The sequence below is a fragment of the Homo sapiens genome, chromosome 2 (assembly GCF_000001405.40).
Source record: "Homo sapiens chromosome 2, GRCh38.p14 Primary Assembly".
NCBI lineage: Eukaryota > Metazoa > Chordata > Mammalia > Primates > Hominidae > Homo > Homo sapiens.
The window spans coordinates 182,816,810-182,838,980 of NC_000002.12; the positions used below are offsets into that span (position 1 = coordinate 182,816,810).

Consider the following 22,171-nt stretch of genomic DNA (forward strand, 5'->3'; position numbering starts at 1 on the left):
CACTCTCAGAGTTAGTACCTAAAAGGCTATTGCAATCAGTAAATTACATAGCATGTCACACTTGATCAATTTTTTACCATATTAACAGTGATTACAAGTTTCTCAAGTTTCACAAGGAAATCAAATAATTGACCACAGCTGGCAGTATTTTATTTTACATGGAACACCACAGCTGGAGGAATTCCAGCCTAACCTTGAACAGGGCTTTAATTGACTGCAAACATTTAAGGGCCATGTCTTATGCTGACTGATTTTCTCTTCTTTGCTAACCTTTCATTTTGTGTCTGAATATTTTCAGGAGTACTCACAGGAGTTACATAGCTTTCACTGAGGCCCAAGGAAAACCCAGGAGCCCAGCAAGCTTTGTTCCAAGAATGAAAAAAAAATAATAATAACCTCCTAAACATGTAGGATCTAACATAGACATTTCTACCCAGCAATGTTTTGAAACTCACTTGATCCCTTCAATTTCACAGCTGTTTCAAATCGATAAGCAGTGACAGTAACTTTAGAGAACATGTTCTGAATACCAGTCATTCTTGCCACAGGATTTTTATAAGCAAGGATGAAATAAAAATGAGAAGAACAAAAGAGAAATAAAAACTTTTCCTGCCACTTAGGTTTACAACCTCTTACTGACAATCACATTTTCCCTGAACCAATTAATTAAACACAGAAGTGCTCTATGAGTATGTGATCATGTGATATGCAGCTTTATCAATATCTTGTTTATCCATTCCGCAGGAATGTCACTATGTAGTTGCAACAGTTTTGACATTTGAAAGAGATGTAAAATCCGTTCACAAAATTTGAATCAATATGTGTGATTTAGACTTTAATTTTCCTAAAGATGTTTAGTTTTCATTGAGTACTGTTAGAAAAAGGGGGAAAAATGGCCAAAGAAGCATTTTCTAGGATTGTCCTTGACTAACTAAAAATAGAAACACAGAAGCAAAGAATCCAATCTTATTACAGCTGCATTTTACTTGACAGAACAAAGAATGCTGCTGTCTACAGTAAAAGCACTTTAAGGTCGACACTTGAAATAACAAAAATAATCCTTAAAAAATTAAATAACTACAATATGTCATACCCCAATCTTAAAAATATAATTAAGGATCAATTGGAATCACCTGGAAGAAAATATTTTCACTTCTAATAAATAGCTGTGTGTATATAATGTACACCTCCTATAAGCTCTGGTCTTCTATAGTATAATGTTAATTTTAAAACTTTGATCAACATTTTAAAGTTTGTATATATATTAATAACAACATAAGAATGACTATAACTTATTTTCAATTTTAAGATGTAGACTTAAAAGGTCTCTTCATGGGGAACAATTTTTTAAAGTATTCTATTTTTAGCAATATTCAAGCTTTTACTTTCAGTATTTTCAAAATCTTACTTTTAAGAAAACATTGACCAGCAACTTTAAATACACCTCCAGTTTCTATGGACCATTTTCTATGGCCTTTCCTGGGTTAACACGAACATTACTGTTGCACACACTATGCCACCAGCGATCAGCTTTAGGGGTATAAGATGTCCCATAGGTATATTATCCCACAAATTATTTCAATAACATTTAGAACCAAGATGTCATTTGGAGCCTAGAACAGTTTATAAATTTTTTTAGGGGGAAAGTACATGTCAAAATTGTAAGATATTAGTAACAAGAGAATAACTCTACACAATTTTAAAAGCAAGTAACTTAAGTTTATGTTAACACGGCACATCTAATTGTCAACAAATGCAGCCTGTATTTTATTTTTTTAACTCAGCCTAAATGCTTCCAGTCCTTTCCTTCCACGGTGTCAAATGGAGCTGTTGTGTAGGCAAAGTGTCTTTTGTCCCATCACGTGTGGGAATTTAGTAACCTTTTCACCATGACAATTAGAAATAACAAAGAGGTATCTATTCATTCAGTATAAATTCTTAGCATTAATAGTTGGCCCAGGACTGGTAAAGTTATTAGACTGGTTCATATCTGGTTCATTGTGTTTCTGCCTTGGTAAAATAAGCATTCAGCTAGGGTTCTCATGCTTAAGGCTAGACACCAGTTAATAGGGCAAAAGGTAACAGGGCAATTTAACTTTTAGTTAAGTGTTTTTCCATTAATTGGGCCACACATTCTTACAAGCACAAGTGCACACAGTTTGGTCCTGAGAAGATTTGCAAGCGTTTTGTGTGTCTTTTGTTAGTTCCAATATACAGCTTATCCTTGATTTAGCAGACTACAGTTATACAAGACTTTTCTTAATTGCTTTTCATGCATAGTTGGGAGAAACAGCAGGCAGCCTTTAAGCAGAGGTTTTGTGGCCCAAAATGGTAGCTTCAAGTGCCTCCTTCCCAGTGTTTATTGTTGACAATTCAATTAGCATGCCAAAGCAGCTGTGCGCTGTAGCAGGCAGGGTCAACCAGACTGCACAGAAACTAATTTTACTAACAGAGGGGCAAAATTCGCTGTGCTGCATTTATCTTATGCATTTACTAAAGAGCACGACAGGAGAAAGCTAGCCAGTTCTCCCCAATTTAAATTAATCTTGTGGAAAGTCACACATGTAAGCCATTTTTGTTCCATTAGTGGCTGATGAAAAGCTATTCATTTTCTCACTCTTCAAGCTTTAATAAAAGCCACACTTGGCAACAATGAGATAAATACCTCATATTCATGAGAAGTTTTATTTTAGTGAAAAGTGACTTTTTTTTTTTTTTTGACATGGAGTATCACTCTTGTCACCCAGGCTGGTTGCAGTGGCACAGTCTCGGCTCACTGCAACCTCCACCTCCCGGGTCAAGTAATTCTCCTACCCCAGCCTTCCCAGTAGCTGGGACTACAGGTGTGTGCTACCAGGCCCAGCTAATTTTTTTTTTGTATTTTTTGGTAGAGACAGGGTCTCATCATGTTGGCCAGGCTGGTCTCAAACTCCTGGCCTCAAGCCATCCGCCTGCCTTGGCCTCCCAAAATGCTGGGATTACAAGTGTGAACCCACTGCGCTCGGCCTAAAAGTGTATTTCTTAACCAAAGAAAGCCAAAGAGAATAAGGCTCATATAAGGGTATTTTATGGATAATGCAGTCAACAAAGATAATTTGGAGAACCACAAGCATACTGAATGATTTAGTCTCTCCTGGTAGTTCAAATGTAATTGGTGAGAGACAACGCATGGTGCAGAGACATGTAGGTAAGCTGAAGGGACTCAAGGGCCAGATGGGAGAAGCTCCTTAGGGTCGGATCTGGCTCTGTAGGTGATTCTGGGGCAGCTCTCAAGCAGGTGCTCCATGTTCTGCTGGTGCAGCTGCGCTCTGGAGCCACGTGCCACTGGTTCCTGGGGGTGCATGTTAGAGCTCTGAGGTGACTGCTGGTTCTCCAAGAGTTCAGCCATGAGATTGGCCACAACAGTGTGCGTGACAACCGGACCCTTATGTGTCCCAGCCAGAAGTGGGGAGGGAAGTCACTCCTGATTCCCTGTTCAACACTGTTGACTTCTCAGGTGCTAACATTTAATATATATATATTTTTTGAGACAGGGTCTCTGTCACCTAGGCTGGAGTGGAATGATGCAATCAGTAGTTCACTGTAGCCCTGACCTCCCGGGTTCAAGCCATCCTTGCACCTCAGCCTCCTGAGTAGCTGGGACTACAGTTATGCACCATCATGCCTGTTTTGTTTTGTTTTGTTTTTTTTGTAGAAATGGGATCACACTATGTTGCCCAGGCTGGTCTTGAACCCCTGGCCTCAAGTGATCCTCCCATCTCCACCTCCAAAAATGCTGAGATTACAGGCATGAGCCACCATACCAGGCCTAATGCTTCCTTTTTAATAACTTAGGTTAGACTTTGGACATCATCTTTGACTGATGGCTACAGAAAGTCTGAGTTGGAGGCAGAGATGATAAAGGATGTAACCTCACAAAGAAATAGCATGAGGTGGCTATCTACCTGACCTATTCAATTTTCATACCTAAAATTCTACAAACAAGCAGAATTGGAAAGTTGCCTTATTTTTCTATTGTAGCACTACTGGCAAGGTTTCCTGAATCATTTTATTTTCATCCTTTCATTGTAACCACCTAACAAGTCCATTTTGCCCGCTGCCTAGACAGAGCCAATTTATTAAAACAGGGGAATTGCAGCCAAGTGCGGTGACTCACACCTGTAATCCCAGCACTTTGGGAGGCTGAGGCAGGCAGATCACAAGGTCAAGAGATCAAGACCATACTGGTCAACATGGTGAAACCCCGTCTCTACTAAAAATATAAAAATTAGCTGGGTGTGGTGGCGGGCACCTATAATCCCAGCTACTCAGGAGGCTGAGGCAGGAGAATCACTTGAACCTGGGAGGCAGAGATTGCAGTGAGCTGAAATCGTGCCACTGCACTCCAGTCTGGCGACAGAGTGAGACTCCATCTTAAAAGCAAACAAACAAAATCAAAAAACAAAAAAAAAACAGGGGAATTGCAATAGAGAAAGAGTTTAATTCATGCAGAGCTGGCTGTATGGGAGATGGAAAGTGAGGAGTGCTGATTGGTCAAGTCAGAGATGAAATCATAGGGAGTTGAAGCTGTCCTCTTGTGATGAGTCAATTCCTGGGTGGGGACCATAAGACCAGATGAGCCAGTTTATCCATCTAAGTGGTGTCAGCTGATCCATCGAGTACAGGGTCTCCAAAATATCTCAAGCACTGATTTTAATATTTACAATAGTGATATTATCCTCAGGAGCAATTTGGGGAAGTTTAGAATCTTGCAGCCTCTAGCTGCATGACTCCTAAACCATAATTTCTAATCTTGTGGCTAATTTGTTAGTCCTGCAAAGGCAATCTAGTCCCCAGGCAGAAAGGGGGGTTGTTTTGGGAAACGGCTATTATAATCTTTGTTTCAAAGTTAAATTATAAACTGAATTCCTCCTAAAGTTAGTTCAGCCTAGGCCCTGGAATGAACAAGGACAGCTTGGAGGTTAGAAGAAAAATGGAGCTGGTTAGGTCAGATCTCTTTCACTGTCATAATTTTCTCAGTTATAATTTTTGCAAAGGCAGTTTCATCATCATTCTTGCCCCTTTTCCAACCTTTCTTTAAAATGTTTTTATCTTACCATTAATTTGTACTTCTTTAGGGTTTAACATTCTAGTGCTAAGCAACCCCAAAATTGTTATTTTCACCCCTAAATTTCTTAAGTTGGCTTGCCTGTGGGCTTATATTTTTATTATTTTCTGTAAATTCCTCATCCTACCTTTTTTTCTTTTTTTCTGGATTAGACTTCTAGTCAAATGCTACCAGCCTTCAAAATAAACATTTCAGGAATTTTGTGTATGAGGGGGTACAGGATAGAAGTCCAACACAAAGATGAGATCCCCAAACTTTTAGATGAGCGGCTCTCATAAAGAAAATAGAGAATTGGAAGAAATGAGTTCTGAAATAAGATGGAAACTCATTTATACAAAATCCACTCATGGAAAACTTCACATAGACTTGAATGTTGAGATGACTGGCCTTCTTCACGTTGCAAAGTGACAGATGGCATCTCCTAAGAAGCTTTATAGCCTCATGATCTCCTTCTTAATTCCAAATTATTTAAATACCATATATTCTCTAAAAGCCTTATGAAAACTTTGTTTAATACAACTTTTACTGTGTTTTTATCTACTCATTATGTATACTAATCTGTATATTCCCTGGGAAAAGTAAGAATTTTTTGGAATATCAGCATAACAAATGACTTCTTTCTTATGGGATGTTATCTCTATTCCACAGCTTTTCAAAGTGGTCTCTAATGCTTACACCGTACACACATATGGATTTGTCAGGATCCCATATCCCCAGATCATAGTTAATTATAGCTGACACTTGGAAATTTGGTATACTTGTGAGAAATTAAAACACCAGATTAGCCAAGACTTCTCTTACTTGCTTATTTGCAAAAATATATTTTTAACTCTGGGAAAACATCTCCTAACTGAAACCTCCTAAAGTCAAGGTCTTAATCCACAGGCAACACAATATTTCACATATGCTTTTAAAGTCTGGTGTATTCATCAATTAGAATGATTCAGTGGCGGTCATTTAATTATTTCTCCCAGGCCACTGAGAAATGTAAGCAAACTCAGATAACAAAGTTAAAGTCTGATTTATTAAGGTGGTATACATATTTCACATACCTAACTCATTCCTGCACACTGGAGCGGGATTAAGTGATGCAGAATCATGGCTAAATCCATAATCTTGCTTTTATATCAACTTCAAACAGAGGTCAACACTGACATATTTACACCTATATAAAGCCATATCCATTATATTATTAAATGCCCTCCTAAATATTCCTAATAGAACTTTTTATGATGATTGCAACCCCCTGGAGACACTTCTACCCAGCCTTCAACATATTTTTACTAAGATCCTGTAGTTCCACATGAAAATAACTTTTCAATTTAGCATTTCTACTTAATCCAATTTAAAGGCTTTGTCCTGTCTCATTTAACTTACGGAATGAGAGACCAGTAATAGGAACAGAAATAGGAACTTTATATAGTTTTAAAATATGTTATATTTACCAAATACATGTGGGTGACTCTCAAATGTTTACATATAGCTCTCCCCTAAGTCACAGACTCCTATCTACTCAACATTCTCCTGCTGAGTAACTAATAAGTATCTCAAACTTATCACAACCAAATTAGAATTCCTTATCCACTCCTGACCCCATTTTTCCCTTTTTCTAGGCTTTCCTCCCCCTGGATGATAGTTGCACCACCATCAACCCAGTGGCTCAAGTCTGAAAAGTTGCTCAAGTCATCTTTGAATATTTTCCCAGCTCCCTACATCCAACTCATCAGCTAGTCCAATGATTTCAAAGTCTAATCGGTATCTTAAATCTGTCCACTTTGCTCTGTAATGCACTGCCACCAGCCTGATCCAAACCACCATCTTCTCTCACCTTTACTACAAGAGCCTCCTTTCTCTAATCATGCCTTAACCCCAGATCAGTTCTTCCTTTGGAGTCTGAGTAATCTTTTAATAACATATATCTGAGCATGTCATTCTCTTGCTTAGAACACTCCAGTGGTTTTACATACCACTTTGCTACAACCCAACTCCCTAATATGGCTACATGGCCCTTCACTTTTATTCCCGCTAATTTCTCCAACTTTACCTACTACCTTTCTCTCCATTCCCCAACTACTCCATGCTCACGTCCTCTGATTGGCAAGGCAATTTCCAGCTTCAGAATTTTCAAACGGTCCTTCAACCCACCTGAACTGCTGTCCCCACATCCAGCATGGCAAGCTCCTTCTTATCCTGTGAAAATCAACTGAAATCTCTCCTCCTCCTAGAAGTCTTCCCTAGCTACTAAGTGTGAATCCAGATTTTGTGAACCCTGAAGCTTATACAACTTGGTAGAAACGTTTTTATAGAAAAATAACGTATTAAAGCCTTAAATGTGCACACTTTGCAAAAACACATGATCATGGAAATACTCAGGGCCTTAGAAGAGGCCAGTACAAGTGAAGGACCCTTAAGCTTTGCCTCATGAACTTTACAATGATTCTAACTCTGTGACTACCCTTATTAAGCAGGTTTTCTCCTCCTGCCACCTCTATCTCTGATATTCTTTATTGCATCTTATTAAAAGTAATGGCAAAAATCGCAATTGCTTTTGCACCAACCTAATATTTATTTCTTAGCACTTCTCACAGTTTGTCACCTGTGTGCCATCTGCCTCTTACATTTGTCACCTGTGTGCTGTTTGGCTCTGCCTTTGTGTACATTGCAGCAGGGTAGATACTGCGAGTCCACCCATTACCATAGCTGGCATTTGACACAGTAGCACTCGGTTAAGACTTGTCATTGAATGAATAACAACATGTCCTTTGAGATTAATTGTGCTAGATAAAAGCAAATAACTATTTAACATTTTAAAGTTGCCATGTCATTAAAGCAGCTTTTTTTCCTTCCCTTGCTATCTTAAGAAGCTGACAGCGTGACACAATTTCTGGGGCAGGGGAAACTATTGTTATACCCTATCTACTCCAAGCCTCAGGAATTTTTAAAGCCACAGCCTAATTTCAGAGACAAATAAGCAGCTGTTCATGAGGGTTCAGCCTAGTTACCTGGTCAAAATCACCATGCTCGGTGTTTAGAGGAAGAGCTCTGCTTCAAACTGGCTTCTGGCCGTGGTGACGCTTGACTGGGGCTAGGGTGCCAGCAGCCATCCTGGAGCTCAAGACGCTTCCTGGGCTCAGGCCTACCCTCTCCGGATACATTGGTGCACCTGTTCCCTCTTATCTGATTTTTTTTAGTCAGCCTGTTCTCATCACTGCAAGATGTTTCCCCACTTTCTGGGCTGTGGCTCTCAAAAGGGGATCAGGCAAGGGGCCTGTAGTTTGTCTAACCCCTCCCAAGGAGAGCTAACACCTGCACACAGACAGGTAGAGGTGTTATTTGAAGCTAATTCCTTTCTTCCCGAACCCATAGGAGAAAACCAGCATGAGATTTTACTAAGACTTGCTAGGATGATATTCAATCTAAATTTGAAGTACTTTCAAACTTGGCTTTTTAAGTTAAAGGGCTGAACAAATACTTGGGGAAAATTATAACATCTATAATTGTAGCAAAATGTTTCACATAATTTGACATCTTGTGCTAAAATCTGCACTGTAAATTGCCAATAGCAGAAATTATTAAATTCTAGAACTATCTACAAATGGAGACTATTAAATGTCTTCCAGTGCACTTTTAAAAAATGGGATGGTTGGGAGGCCAAGGTGGGTGGACCACTTGAGGCCAGGAGTTCAATATCAGTCTGGCCAACATAGCAAAACCCCATCTCTACTGAAAATACAAAAACTAGCCAGGCATGGTGGTGCACACCTGTGGTCCCAGCTACTCAGGAGGCTGAGGCAGGAGAATCACTTGAACCTGGGAGGTAGAGGTTACAGTGAGCTGAGACCAGGCTCCTGCACTCCAGCCTGGTCAACAGAGCAAGACTCTGCCTCAAAAAAAAAAAAAAAAAAAAAAAAGGAGGCGGGGTGGAATGAATAAGCCACTATCTTACATGGTTTGTATTTGTTTTTACTTGGACTAGATAAGACTTAGTCGGGTATCAGGTGGAGAATGCTACAAAAATCCTGTTTGCCTTCCACTGAAAATCCCTTAAAATCCTCAAAAAAAAAAAAAAAAAGCTACACAAATTTAGAAATGAACTCAAGTTTCTTTTGTATTTATATGAAAACTGCATTTCATTTGTTGAGTGAATGGCTCAGGATCTATACCGTTCATTTATTTGGGACAGGTTAAACAGTCAGTCAGAGTGTATATTTTATGGTTAAATGAACCTGAGCTAGGTTAATTATGGTAGCAACTGACTCTCAATCCTATTCCTTGCATATTGACCTTAGTATGGTGATATTTAACTCTAAGCTGCAGTATATTAAACACAAACTTCTGATTGGAAGCAGTTTCAGAATCAATTTGCATTCAAATAAAAAGCCACTTCAGTGAGAGGCACATTAAGATGTTTAAATTATGAGGCATGTGGGATTCATCAAGCAAAGAGAGCAGTTGTAAATCAAGCTTATGGTGAATAGGTTAAACATACAAGAGGGTTTTAGTGCTACAGCAACACTTCCTAAGATCTTTTAGTTTTAGCAACTAAAATGAAAATTTTTAAGAAAACAGTGAAGGGTAAACAGGTTTTCAAAAAATGACAACTACAAACCATATTTATAATTTTTCACTGTCTCTGGCATGCCAGCCTTAAAAATGTGATCATTAGCACTAGGACTACATTTCAATACATCATACTAGAATGAATGGGAGGGTGGGCAAGAGAGAAATGAGACCAGCAGTTTAAGGAATTTTTTTTAAAAGAATGGCCCTTTGTTCTTCTTTCTTTTGTAGACTCCACCACCTTGTATTACATGCAGATTTTTCTCTGCTGGATTATCTTATTTTACTTCTCACTTTCAATTCCTAGCACTGAGCCTCGCAGCAAAATGGGTGTTTGTTGAATGGGTGTGCAAGAGCCAAGTGGGTACTCTCTGTCTGGACATGGGCGCTCATTCACGCAGGACTTTATTCCTAAAGAATGAGCCTTTGCAGAAACAAAATAATATTACTGGGAGCCCATTGGGTCCTGTGAATAATTGTTTCAGTTGGGAGGGTCAGGGGAAGGCTAAAATCTCTCTCGTGTGCGTCTTTCTCCCCTTTCAGTCCCCATTTCCCTGCTCTAGGCACTCTGTTCTCTCGGGCAGCTTCTAGAGCCCCTTTCAGCCCCAGTTACTTAATAAGCTAATTGTTACTAAGGAATAGGGACTGATATATTTCATATGCCCTTGCATTTTAAGTGGATTCATGAAGACAACAATGATTGACCCAAAAGACTGAATCTTTAATAGTAAGATTGCAGGTAACCTTTGTTAGTAGTTAAGTTTCTAATGCTACCAAACCACCAATTTCATTAAGTTCCAAGAATGATAAAATAATTCAAGCTAGTTAGGAAACATTTTATTAGGCACACACAAGAGTAGGCAAACCACAAGCCAACAGCCAAATTCAGCCCACTGCCTGCTTTTATGAATAAAGTTTTATTGGAACACAGCCATGCCTGTTCACATATATAATATGGTCTATGTCTGTTTTTGAGCCTCAGTGGCAGAGCTGAGTAGCTGCAACAGAAACTGCATGGCCTGCAAAATCTTAAATATTTACTATGGGACCCTTTACAGAAAAGTTTGTCAACCCTGGATTAGTTTCTTCCTTTTGCAGCTGGGTTTTTGGTTATCGTCTGTTTTTCTAAAAGGGACTAGTCCAAGGCCTTTATGAGTTGTCCTTACTTCCCAGTTTCAGTAAAAGCTGCCTCTGTTTTGAGAACCCTCAGTGTGTAGCCTGGAATGCAGAGCCTGCACTTTTGAAACATAAACACTTTGTCTCGATATAATTTTAGTACTTCTGGAACTCCCTGGGAAATGAAAAACACCAAGAAGATCCTCTGACAAAAATTCAGCTCTTATTGAGAACACATATCTTTTCAAGGGGTCTCTCCTTGCTGACCTAAACTATGAATAATAACCTTTTTGGGGAGCCAAACTTTTATAAATAACATTCAGAGAAAATTGTTTTCTTTACTTTGCTCTTTTATATAAAGTAACCTATTACTTACAAAGGATAATAGTAAAGTATAAAAACGTGATTCCACTTGAAAGTTCAAGGAATAAATGAATTAATCTGGAAGTTAACATCTCCATAGAAATAACCAGCATGAAGACATTAAAATTCCTATAGGTTTACCATTCCCTATATTTAAAAATGGTTGGAGGCTGGTCCCAGTGCCTTGGTATTTACAACTCATTGATCACTACCAGTTACAGACTTTTTTTCTTCCTTCTTCACCCCCATTGCTTGACTAGCCTTAAAAAATAATAATTATTAAAAAAAAAGCATGGCTGCAGAAGTCTTTTGGTTCTTTGGTTGCCAAAATAAATAAAAGTGTTTGGAATGAAACATAAATTTGTATTGTGATATATTTGTAGATTTGAGTACTTATATGGTTTTTCCAGAATCTTTTGTCCAGTCTCTTGATCATGCTGCATTTTAAGCACACCTGCCTCACTGGAGGGAAAGGAAAAGAACTTTAATCTTCAATTTGAAGAAAAATTGAGAATTTTTTGAGTCCAGCATCTTAAAGATGGAGAACAGAGAACAGGCAGGAAGTGTGATCTCTCGAAAGCCACTTTTCTTCTGGGCTTAGTGAGCACTCACTAGAACCCTGTTAGAGAAGTGTGTACTTCATAGAGAGGAGCTGGGAGTAAAAGGTGGAATGATTCTGATTCCTATTAAACACCTATCATGCTCCAGGCACTGCCCAACAGAATCCATCCAGCTCATCTCTCCTAATCTTGAAGCTTGGAAATAAGGCTAAACAGCCAATGAGTTGCGAAGTGAGCATTTGAATCCAAGTGCCCTAACTCCAAAGCTCTACTCAAGGTATGGTGAGGGAGCCATTTTGAATGATTGAATGTCTCCAAATGTTGTCCCTAAGGAAGAAGGAGTGTGGGCAGCTGTGGTTCCAGGCATCGTGTAGGCAAGAAAACCTCAGGACAAGACTGCCTGAGCTGATGACCTGAAAGGAATCGAAATGAGCATCATGGATATTGATCAATGGATTTAAAGAATATCAGATATTTGCATCATGCCTGATCTTCTAGCAATTCTGAAAATATTCCTGTAGCTATGTGTTTGATTTAATTAGCCAAGCAATATGAGGAAAAGCAGAATAGGCAAGAATGGCCAGGAGGGAAAGAGATGAATGTGAGCAGACAGGACAATTCAGTATTTGTGGGTATAATATTTTCTGAGCATCACGGGTTTTTTTTTTTCTGTTTTTGGTTTGTTTGTTTTGTTTGTTTTTCTTATCTTAGGCCATGTTTTATTAGAAAGAGCTGGCTGGTTAGATCACTTACAAGACACCATATCTTGAATTTTCAAAGAAAGAGAAACCTTCACAGAGCAAGGGACTCATGGCAATTCCAGTAATTAATGAGAAGGAAAGAAAAGGCCAAATTTAAACATGTTTTTTTTTTTTTTTTGGCAGAAGACTTCACCTGGAGTATCATGCATCTTTTAAAGCTTTGATATATTACTTGAGTTTTAGGTCGTAGAGAAAGTTTTCCAATAGGAATTTTGTTCATATTGATCTCTCCTTTTGCCAAGTTGTCCCACAGTTCAACTCAAATTCTTCTTTTCAGTGCTAGGACAGGAATACCATCTCTGGGAAGCCATGATTCCCTCAGAATCACCAAAATAATGTAGAAATAAAGACATTAGAGTGAACTGCATCTGCTTTATTTATTGGATTTACCACCCAGTATAAACAAGAAATCCTTTGTTCCCTGTTTCATTGACTTCTTAACATCTCAGAGCTATCCTATGTTTCAGACATCACCCGACCCACCCTTGCTGAGGCCCCAGACTATCCTAAGTCCAACCCTGCAATCATAACATCAACCTCACATCGTGATGCTAAGTGTGTGGGGAGGGAGGTGGTGGCTGTTTGCAAGAGTGGCCACAGTACCACTGTGTAATGAGTGGGGTCATTCCCCTCCACATCCCTGTGGTGAGTAGAAAATTCTTTCCCGCATTTTCTTTCATTTCTGTGTCAGTTTCCTCAACAGCCCACAAATCCTTTTTTTTTTTTTTGGACAAATTTCCTTGAGCACAACCTTTCCTTCTTCATGGGACAACTCCTCAAGTTCTCAACAACCACCTAAGTAGAAACATGACAAACGTTTGCATTTCATCGGAAGAAAAACATATTTAGTTGTATTAACATGTTGAATCCCTGTCATAGTGAAAATACTTAATGAATGAAAAGCAGGGGGAATTAGGTCAGGTGGAATAGTTTTTCTAGATTATGGAGGACTCTGGTGGTGGGAAACATAGGGGGCATAATCTAAAAAGGAGAAATGGGAGTTCCCAGTGGAAGTAGTCGTTCTCGTTTTATTTGTAATAATTATCAACTTTTAATTTCAACTTTCTTCCAGGTGTTGTTGAATACAATTAACTGTTTACTTTTCTACAAATTCAAGGGAAAACAGAAACCTTGAAAAATGCTTTTCTGAGAGTCACACATTTTTAAACAACTAATGCCCCCAAAATTACTTAATTCACCTGCCTGTCTGTATGGAAATAATTCTACTGAAATTCTGATTTCATAAGGGAGGACACCTGAAGATGTGAAGTGACTGTATCTTGGATTAGAGTTGGGCCTATATTATATAGGCTTTCTAACATAGTTGGTAGACCTCAGTTTAAGAAATAATAGCTATTGTTATATTTATATTATTATTTATTATAATCCAATAATAGCAATAGCTACCACTATATGCCTGACACTATGCTTTTTCTTTTTTTACAGTGCTAGGATGCATTTACCTTTTTATCAGAAATTGCAGTGGTGGAAAACATATAATTTGGGAAATAAGATTATGAGGATCTAAGGCCCAGCTCTGCTACTTACACAACTCTGAAGTTCTAAATACTCATTTAAAAAAAAAAAATCTGTTATATGGGAATAAAACATCTACTTCAACAACTTTCAAGGAATAAGTGAGGTAACATATGCACAAGTGTTTCATATAGAGTTCCAGCCACTGTTAGATGTTATTACCCCAAACAGATAATTATGAAAGGTATGACTATACTGTTTTTGTTAATATTAATACATCTGGGTACCATACTTTTAAATTTTATAGGCTGGATTTCAGTAACACCATATTAGAAGTCTCTGCTTTATTTTTACCATCTTCTTGAATTTTTGTGTATTAAAATATGTTAAAACTCAGTGCTAAATGTCAATCTTGAAATACCTTTAGTCATTTTACTTGTTGAAATGTAACAGCAAATAATTTCTTGCAGAAGGCAATAGGTAGTGCTATTTGCTCACAGTGATTATAACTTTTGTTTTTGCCTTCTTAATGTGTAACACATGTGGAAAGACAGTTTGTCTCACCCCATCCCTGAATGCTGGGTGCAACATATGGCACTGAATCAGATTACATTGTATGTGACACAGTAAAATACATATCCATGAAAAGAGAATCCATGTTTGCTGCTATTTAAGTATTTGCTACTTTATTCAGCATGCATCTGACTTTAATTTGGCTAAGAAAATTAAAATCCTAAAGTTGAATAAAATTTTTTAAAGAAATATAAATTTTATCAATCTCAAGGTTACTGACAAGGATGCATGTATATTAAATTTTTAGTGGCTTTAAAAGTTACTATCTGCAAGAAAACCCTATAGAGAGGCATTAACGAGGTGTCTTTGTACTATGGCAACTAGAGTAGAAATGGTTTTGCAGTCTCCTGAGAAACGTGACCATCATGATAAATCACGCCATCCTCCCAAAAGAGGTCTGCACAGTTTATTAATGAAGATATTGTAGCTATCAAACTGAAAAACCAAATGTACTTTATTCATGGGCTTTATACCATTAGAAATGTTTAAACAGCTGACAGAAGCCTCATATAGGTGAGCAAAATCAAACATTGCCACTATAGATGGTAGTGGTAAAACAGTAGGTTGTAAAATGGCACCGAATGGAAGGTGGTTTAAAAAAAAAAAAAACTGCTGAATCTAAGAATCTGGCCGTGTTTTGTTTATATTAAGCATAAAGTGTGTCAAATTCCTACACAGAAACTGATCATACCCCCTTTACCCAACCCCCACCCCCCAAAAAAAACTGCAGAAGCTGGAAACATCTGCAGCTTTTATACATCAAAAGAGTTCCTTACTTAACATTGCTTACTGTGCATTGAGAGAGTTGAGGTTTGTGGATTTGAGATAACGGTTCCTTTAAACCTCTCCTGTAGTCAATTCTTGTCCTTCTTTACAGAGTTAACGTGAGAAAGCCTGAGGAAAACAGGCTGAGGCACCAGCACTACTTTCCACCCCTCTGTCCTCAGGCTCAAGTTGAGGCTTACATACCAGGAAGAGAGATTCTCAGGGGCAGTCCATCCACGGTGGCGCTTCATTACTCCCCAGTGACACCCAACTCACCTTTTAAGGGTAGGACATCAGCACCTCAAAAGAGATGTCCTTGCCATCTGAGAATATAGCAACAATGGGCAGATGGCAAGCCCTTTGGAAGTGGTCTTTTGGAAGCTCAAAAGACTATGCAGTCCTATAGGCAAAGGTGGGAATGTTTTCTTCTGGGGCTGGGGAAATTGTTGGCTTTGGAGAGTCAATCAGAAGGCAGGAATGTTCCCTTACTCTGTCACCTTTAAATATAGGGAGATAAATCTCCAAGTAAAGGGTTTATTTGGGAATATAAGAATTGGAATTGTAATTCTGGGCACACAAACCAGTGTAGCCTCTAGTTGTGTTCAAAGAACAAAGAGAAAGGCTGGGGTTTTATTGGGGAAGAGAGGAAGGTGATCTAAATGGTTTTGAATGAAAGTTCACTGGAGCCAGGCGCGTCTTGTAGGATCTAGCAAGTTCTGATTGGTGAGTGGCAGCAGCTAGGTAACTTTATCTTAAGGTTAGAGTTAGGTCTTCGTGATTTTTCTGTTGAACTGCAAAAATGGTTCCTGGAACAGGGACCTGGGTGCCTTTCCCCATGGCCTCCCGACTCCATTTTAGTTGGGTATGATATGAGTGACTCCAATTTGTAGAATGAACTTTCACACTTTTGTTGTTGTTACAGAGACAGGGTCATGCTCTATCGCCTACGCTGGAGTACAGTGGCCGCAATCATAGCTTACTGCAGCTTCAACCTCATGGGCTCTAGCCGTCTTCCTTCCTCAGCCTCCCAAGTAGTGGGGATTACAGGTGCACTCACCACACCCAGCTCACACTTTTAAAATAGAACATTTAGATAGATGATTATTTACCATTTTAGGAAACTTTTGTTCAGGAATGAATTTCATCCTTGCTTGATTATCCTTGTAGAAGGAAACATAGCACGATTTTTGCTTCATAAGCATTTTATTTTCAGCACGCCACAGCTTAGAAATTTGGTTCTACTAATAGCACACATGTAAATGGCAGAGAATGAAACTTTCAAGTAATTGGCACAGGCTCTAAGGAACTCTGCCAGAGGAAGGAAGTACAGATGCTCCGCCATTTACGATGGGGTTACATCTGGATAAACCCATTCGAAACTGAAAATATCGTAAGTTGAAATGCATTGGGTTACATCCTGATAAACCCATTGTAAGTCAACAAATTGTTAAATTGAAGCATTGTAAATTGAATCATTGTAAGCTAGGGACCATCTATAAAAGCATCATTTGTTCACCACAGCCCCTGGGATCTCACCACAGCTTGGGTAATGAGAAATGTGCAATTGGTTCAAAAGTCGAAATAACCTCTCTCCTGACAACCATAATTCATTTTACTAGACATTTTTCGCTGAGCATTAAGCAGCACAAATCCAAATGATAAAGTGCAGGCCAGTTTGCAGGCCTGTATTTTAATCCACCTTGGGTGTGAGTGCAAGGACACACATGTACACAAATACAGACACACACACAACAGAAAAAACAAAAACAAAAAAACCTGCATATTTTATCACTCTGTAATCTACAGCATTTTTATGGAGCCATGTACTTTTAAAAACTAACCCTGGTGCACGTGCATACATAATCTTTTCCTGGTCAATACGGCAATTCTGATTTATTTTAAAAGAAGAGAAAAAAAAAGACTTTCACCAATGGGTTTATTTAAAAGGAAGCAAATTAAACAAAACTATGGTGATAACAGCAGATGTCTAGTTATAATTCATTTCTCTAATGCTGATTAATATATTCATGAACAAATCAAATGTATTGCCAAAAGAAGAATGCTACCATTAACACCCCAGCGGCTACTGGTTTCAGTTGTGCTTCTCAATCAGGCAAAATGTTCTTTCTTAAGCTCCTATTTATTTTACTTCCTGACAGTCTCAAAAATAATTCATCTTGGGTGTTGTTTCCTCATAAACACTTCCTGGTGCTTGATTGCTTTGCCTATGTGACATTTGACTTCAAACTGCCATTTTACCTTTATAAACATTTGGAACTTTCTAAGCATGAGGAGAATGCCCAAAAGGCATACAAAAATAAGGCTGTAATTAGATCGGCAGAGTATGTTTTAAGGCATATCTAGCTTTCTGTGAATACCAGAAACCTCTCTTTTCATCCAATATTGCATTCCCAATTGGGGTGCAGAAAGTAAATTAACATCTGGAGACTCCAGCAAAGAGGCTCTGGTAACAGCATGTTTAATTTATTATTATTGCAAAAGAACAGTTTTTCTCATGATTAGTGAAATAGAAAACTCACAATATACTTAAGAGTCTGCCCCCAAACCATTACAAAGGGGTTGAGAGAAGAGAGAAGCAGAAACCAAAAGAGAAACAGAAGTAATAATCAGTTATCACATGATTTTTATAGTAAACAATAGAATATGATGTGCAATAGTGCAATTTTCCTTTGCTAGTCCAGCAATGCAAGTAAGTCTTAATAGGAAGTCCACTGTGTTACTTTTTGTATTTCGGGATTTAGTTGCGTGCTTGCCGGGGGTTCGAGTTCCTGCCAGACTTCTGACTCTGAGTGGAATCACTATTGCTAGAATCACTTTTACTGAGTCCAAGATGACGAAGCTTCATATCCCAGCGCTGTGAAATTTAAAATAGAAAATAGTCACAAGCACATATCACCAGGGTCATTATTTCCATGATTCTAACAACTGGGTCAGACTGCAAGTTCAGATCTCTGAAGCATTTTGCTACTTTTCCAAAAGTATCAATCTATTTCCCAGGGTAACAAGAAAACTGATGCAATATGAACATTATTCTCTGACTTTAACAAGCGCAACATCTATAATGTATTTAGTAATGCTTTCTTATCAAACCTTAAACTTAAAATGTCCATGTCTATAAATGATGACAGAAATATCTCCCTATATCTCTGGGTATTTCCTGAGGTAACATACAGGAGGCTAGTGCTTCACAGATACTCAACAAATGGAAGATTTACACACAGAATTTGAAGGGAAGGCTATTTTTCAACATCCTCTCTTAATACACATAAGAACATAGCCTTTTAAAGTCTATGTGATTTGAGCAGTGAAAAAAAAATGGAAATTTTTTTGAGGGATGGGGGGGTCTCAAAAATATTTTTCTAAGTAATATCCACTAAGTACAATGAATAAAACAGACAAGGTCCTGCCCTCGTTCTAAGTGTTACAAAGCAGGTATTAGCAATGTTTTTAATAAACACAATCAAGTTTAGTAATATTTCATATTAACAATGTCAATAATATTTTCATGTAATTTAAGTTAAATGGAAGTTATATTACATGAGGATAGGTAGGGAATACGAACTACAGCTGTACTTCCCAAACTTCAAACACGGATATCATATGGGGAATTTGTTAAAATTGCAAATTCTCATTTAGCAGGTCTGAGACAGGGCCGAAGATTTTCATTACTAACAAGCTCCCAGGTGATACCTATGTTGCTGATCCAGGGACCACACTTTAAAGAGCAAGCACCATCAGATCCTTGGGTCAGATGGCCCAAGTTCAAATTCTAACTCCACCACTTACTGTGTGAAGTTTCTTGAACTTACTAGACCTCATTTTCATCATGTATATGTTGGAACTGATAATAGAATCTACTTATAAGTAGATACATCTGAAGATTAATAAAAATATAAAGTGCTTAGCACATAGTAAATGTGTTATTGTTTTTCTGTTACTGAAGGTAATTCTTCATTTCAGTATTCTTTACTCCACAATCTTGTCTTCATATTTTAAAAACAGTCTGATTCTCAACTTCCCAAGGAAGTCCAAACATCTTGAATCGTCTGCTATAAGAGACTTAGGTAAACAACCATTTGCATGAAAAAAACATAATAATGTTTCTTATAAAATTATTGATTCATCCACTGAGAGCAAAACTCAGCTAAGAGCAAATCTGATTGAAAAAATAACATCCTCCATAAAACTCTTTTTACACATCTTCAAATTGACTGGAAAACTAAAATAGGAATCTCAATAATTCTGGCCAAAGGAGATTTTCTACCCAAACTCTTTAGCCCTCAATATCTGCATATGAATTTAAAATTGTTCAAATTATTGGTTTCTTTCCTTTAGAATATTTAAATCCAGACTGAGAATATAAATGACTTTACAATAATAACTCTGCAAGTCCCCTGCGGAAAACAATGGGAAATATTGCAGAAAGCAATGGGAAACAGGACAAACAAGCCATGTGTCCTGTCAACAACACAATGATATTGTTTTGGTACCAAAAGAGGAGCAGTAAGCCTTGTTACATGCTTCGCAGCAGGGATATTGAAAGCTTTTCCAACTGGTACAGGAATTTAGGACAAATTCCAGTTCTGCATTAGCAAGCAGAAAACCAAATTAAAGACAGTAAGAGATTCCAACATACTGAACAAGAGCCACTTTTTTCTTTAATAAACACCAAACTAATTGAAGAGAGATGCAGAGAGAATGCCCGCAAGTCTGAACTTGAAATGCATCTCCCTTTTGACAAATCTACTAAAGGGGAGAAGAACTTACTGGAGGGTAGTTTCTCCTTACAAAATAATGCCCTCTACATTTTTGTAGGTCACTTAAACCCAAACGTGTCTGCCGTGTCAAGTGCCAGATGTATAAGATAAACCGCCCAGGGGTGTTTAACTTACCATGTAAATGTTTCCCAAGCCTTCAAACTTGCAGAAGGAAGAGGATGTATTATGTTTGGTACAGTTCCCACTCCCCCCACCCACCCACACATCCTTTGAGATTTTTTTGTCCCCCCATGCATTCCCCCACCCCATTCTTTTCTTTAAAACAGATTTGCTTAGTGCAGTAAGAAGAAACAAAACCTTCTATAATACAGTACTGTACTATGTGATTTTAAAAAATGTATCAATTCCACAATCTAAGAGTTATTTGGCTTAAAAATAAGGCTACATTACTGCTCTAAGGACCTAATTTATTCAGATCTCTTCTATACAGATGAATGTAGCTACACTTTGTACATAGGAATTGCTGTTTATTCATCGGACATCATTGTTTATTTTCCTTCCCATCATTTATTCTCCCCTTCTCACAAACTGCAGTTTGTTCAAAGAAGCAATATCCCCAGGTTTAAAAAGACTACATTTTCTAGCCTGTTTTGCAGCTAAGTAAAAACTGCTTGATGAGGCTCTTGGAAATCCCTTTTACCTCCTCTTTTTCCTGCCTGAAATGTACATGTGATACTAGAGGCAGAGCAGCCATCTTGTGACCTCCAGGTGAACATGAGTATGAAAGCGATGCCTTTAAAAATGGTAGAGTGATAAGCTAGAAGGAGCCTGACAACATGAAACCACCCTACCAGGACTGGACTACAGCTAGACTCCTTGTGAAGAGACATTAGGGCAACTGTAGTTAGATCTTTGATACACATACAGGGAACTCATTCCTTAAATAAAATAGACATTAAAGACAAATTCAGCTCTTGGAGTATATAAATATATGCATACTAAATTTTAATATTTCTCATATGGTTGAAGGCAGCTATTTCATTTCAATGACAGATGGCTGGTTTTCTACTTTTGTTTTGTTTTCTGTGTATTACTTCAAACATAAAATACAGGCTTACCTTAACTTTTTTACCGAGTCGATCCTTCCACTTCTCAGCTATAGAGCCTTCCACCAAGAGTAATCTGTATTTTTGAAAGAAGCAAACATTTTTGAAAAATTAAAACCTGTTACTGAAAAGTACAAGGAAACAGTACTTGAACAAGAAAGACTTATATGTTTATTCTTGAATAGGACAGCTAAGATTTAGAACAGTAATTATTAACCATTTGTAAGTCACAGACCCCTTTAAGAAACAAATGAAGTTATGGCCCCTCTCCCAAGAAAAATGTAAACCTATAAACTACACGCATACACCCATTCCATATATGAAATCAAGAAACCCAACTAAAACTTATCTGTAATCCCCAAGAAGGTAGACAGATCCCAATGTAAAAATGCGAGGGTAGCATCTCTAGAGACAAATTTAATGAGAGTAGGATAAGCAAAGTAGTTATTCTGTATCCTTAAAGAGTGAATTACCTGGAACGTTCCTCATCTTCATAGCCCATGATGATATATTCCTCATTAACATTAAGTGGAGGGCAGAGGCAGCCAGAGCTGGTATAGAGGTTGACAGTGTCCCGTGGAATGTTTACCAGAGAGGACTTTAGAATCTCCTTCACCTCCACTACTGCAGTCACATCATGGCACTTAGTCTTTATCTCTTTAACTTTAGCCCGAATGACTGGGATAAAAGACAAGAAAAGCTGATAATAATATGACACATAATAGCTACCCCATTCAAAAAAAGCCAAAGTAGGCTTCTCTTTAGTTAATTCTTATCCACTTGATATTCAACGAATGGAACAGAAAAGTCAGCCAGATATTTTTGCCTTAGACTGTAGTGTGTGACATAAAACAACACACCTGACCTAATGCTCAGCCCTGCTCTCTTTCCAATTTGTGGCTGTGTATATATTTGCATGTATTTATGCATGTGTGTGCATGTGCTTTTGAGAAATCCATTTAGAGAATCAAAGATTGAGTCAACAATCTGATACAATTTTTCTCTAAAATTCCATTTTGGATGTGTATATATGCATGTGCAGTTC

The 22,171-nt window shown here is 38.0% G+C and overlaps 1 protein-coding gene across 1 annotated transcript in view, besides 1 other annotated feature; it reads right to left on the minus strand.

Annotated features, from left to right (window-relative positions):
• Positions 1,778-2,658: an enhancer, noted in NCBI's record as "OCT4-NANOG hESC enhancer chr2:183683314-183684194 (GRCh37/hg19 assembly coordinates)". NCBI's record gives its function as "activates a minimal SCP1, AML or CMV promoter by ChIP-STARR-seq in naive and primed H9 embryonic stem cells {active_cell/tissue: H9 hESC(naive and primed)}" and the evidence as "EXISTENCE:reporter gene assay evidence [ECO:0000049][PMID:30033119]".
• FRZB (frizzled related protein) overlaps positions 16,466-22,171 on the minus strand; it is a 33,363-nt gene continuing 27,657 nt past the window's right edge. The window contains exons 4-6 of the mRNA NM_001463.4: positions 21,600-21,804; positions 21,139-21,202; positions 16,466-18,156 (exon numbers count right to left, since the gene is read on the minus strand). Of these exons, the coding sequence (NP_001454.2) occupies positions 18,040-18,156; positions 21,139-21,202; positions 21,600-21,804 (386 nt within the window). The 3' untranslated portion in view covers positions 16,466-18,039. The remainder of the gene's footprint in view (positions 18,157-21,138; positions 21,203-21,599; positions 21,805-22,171) is intronic.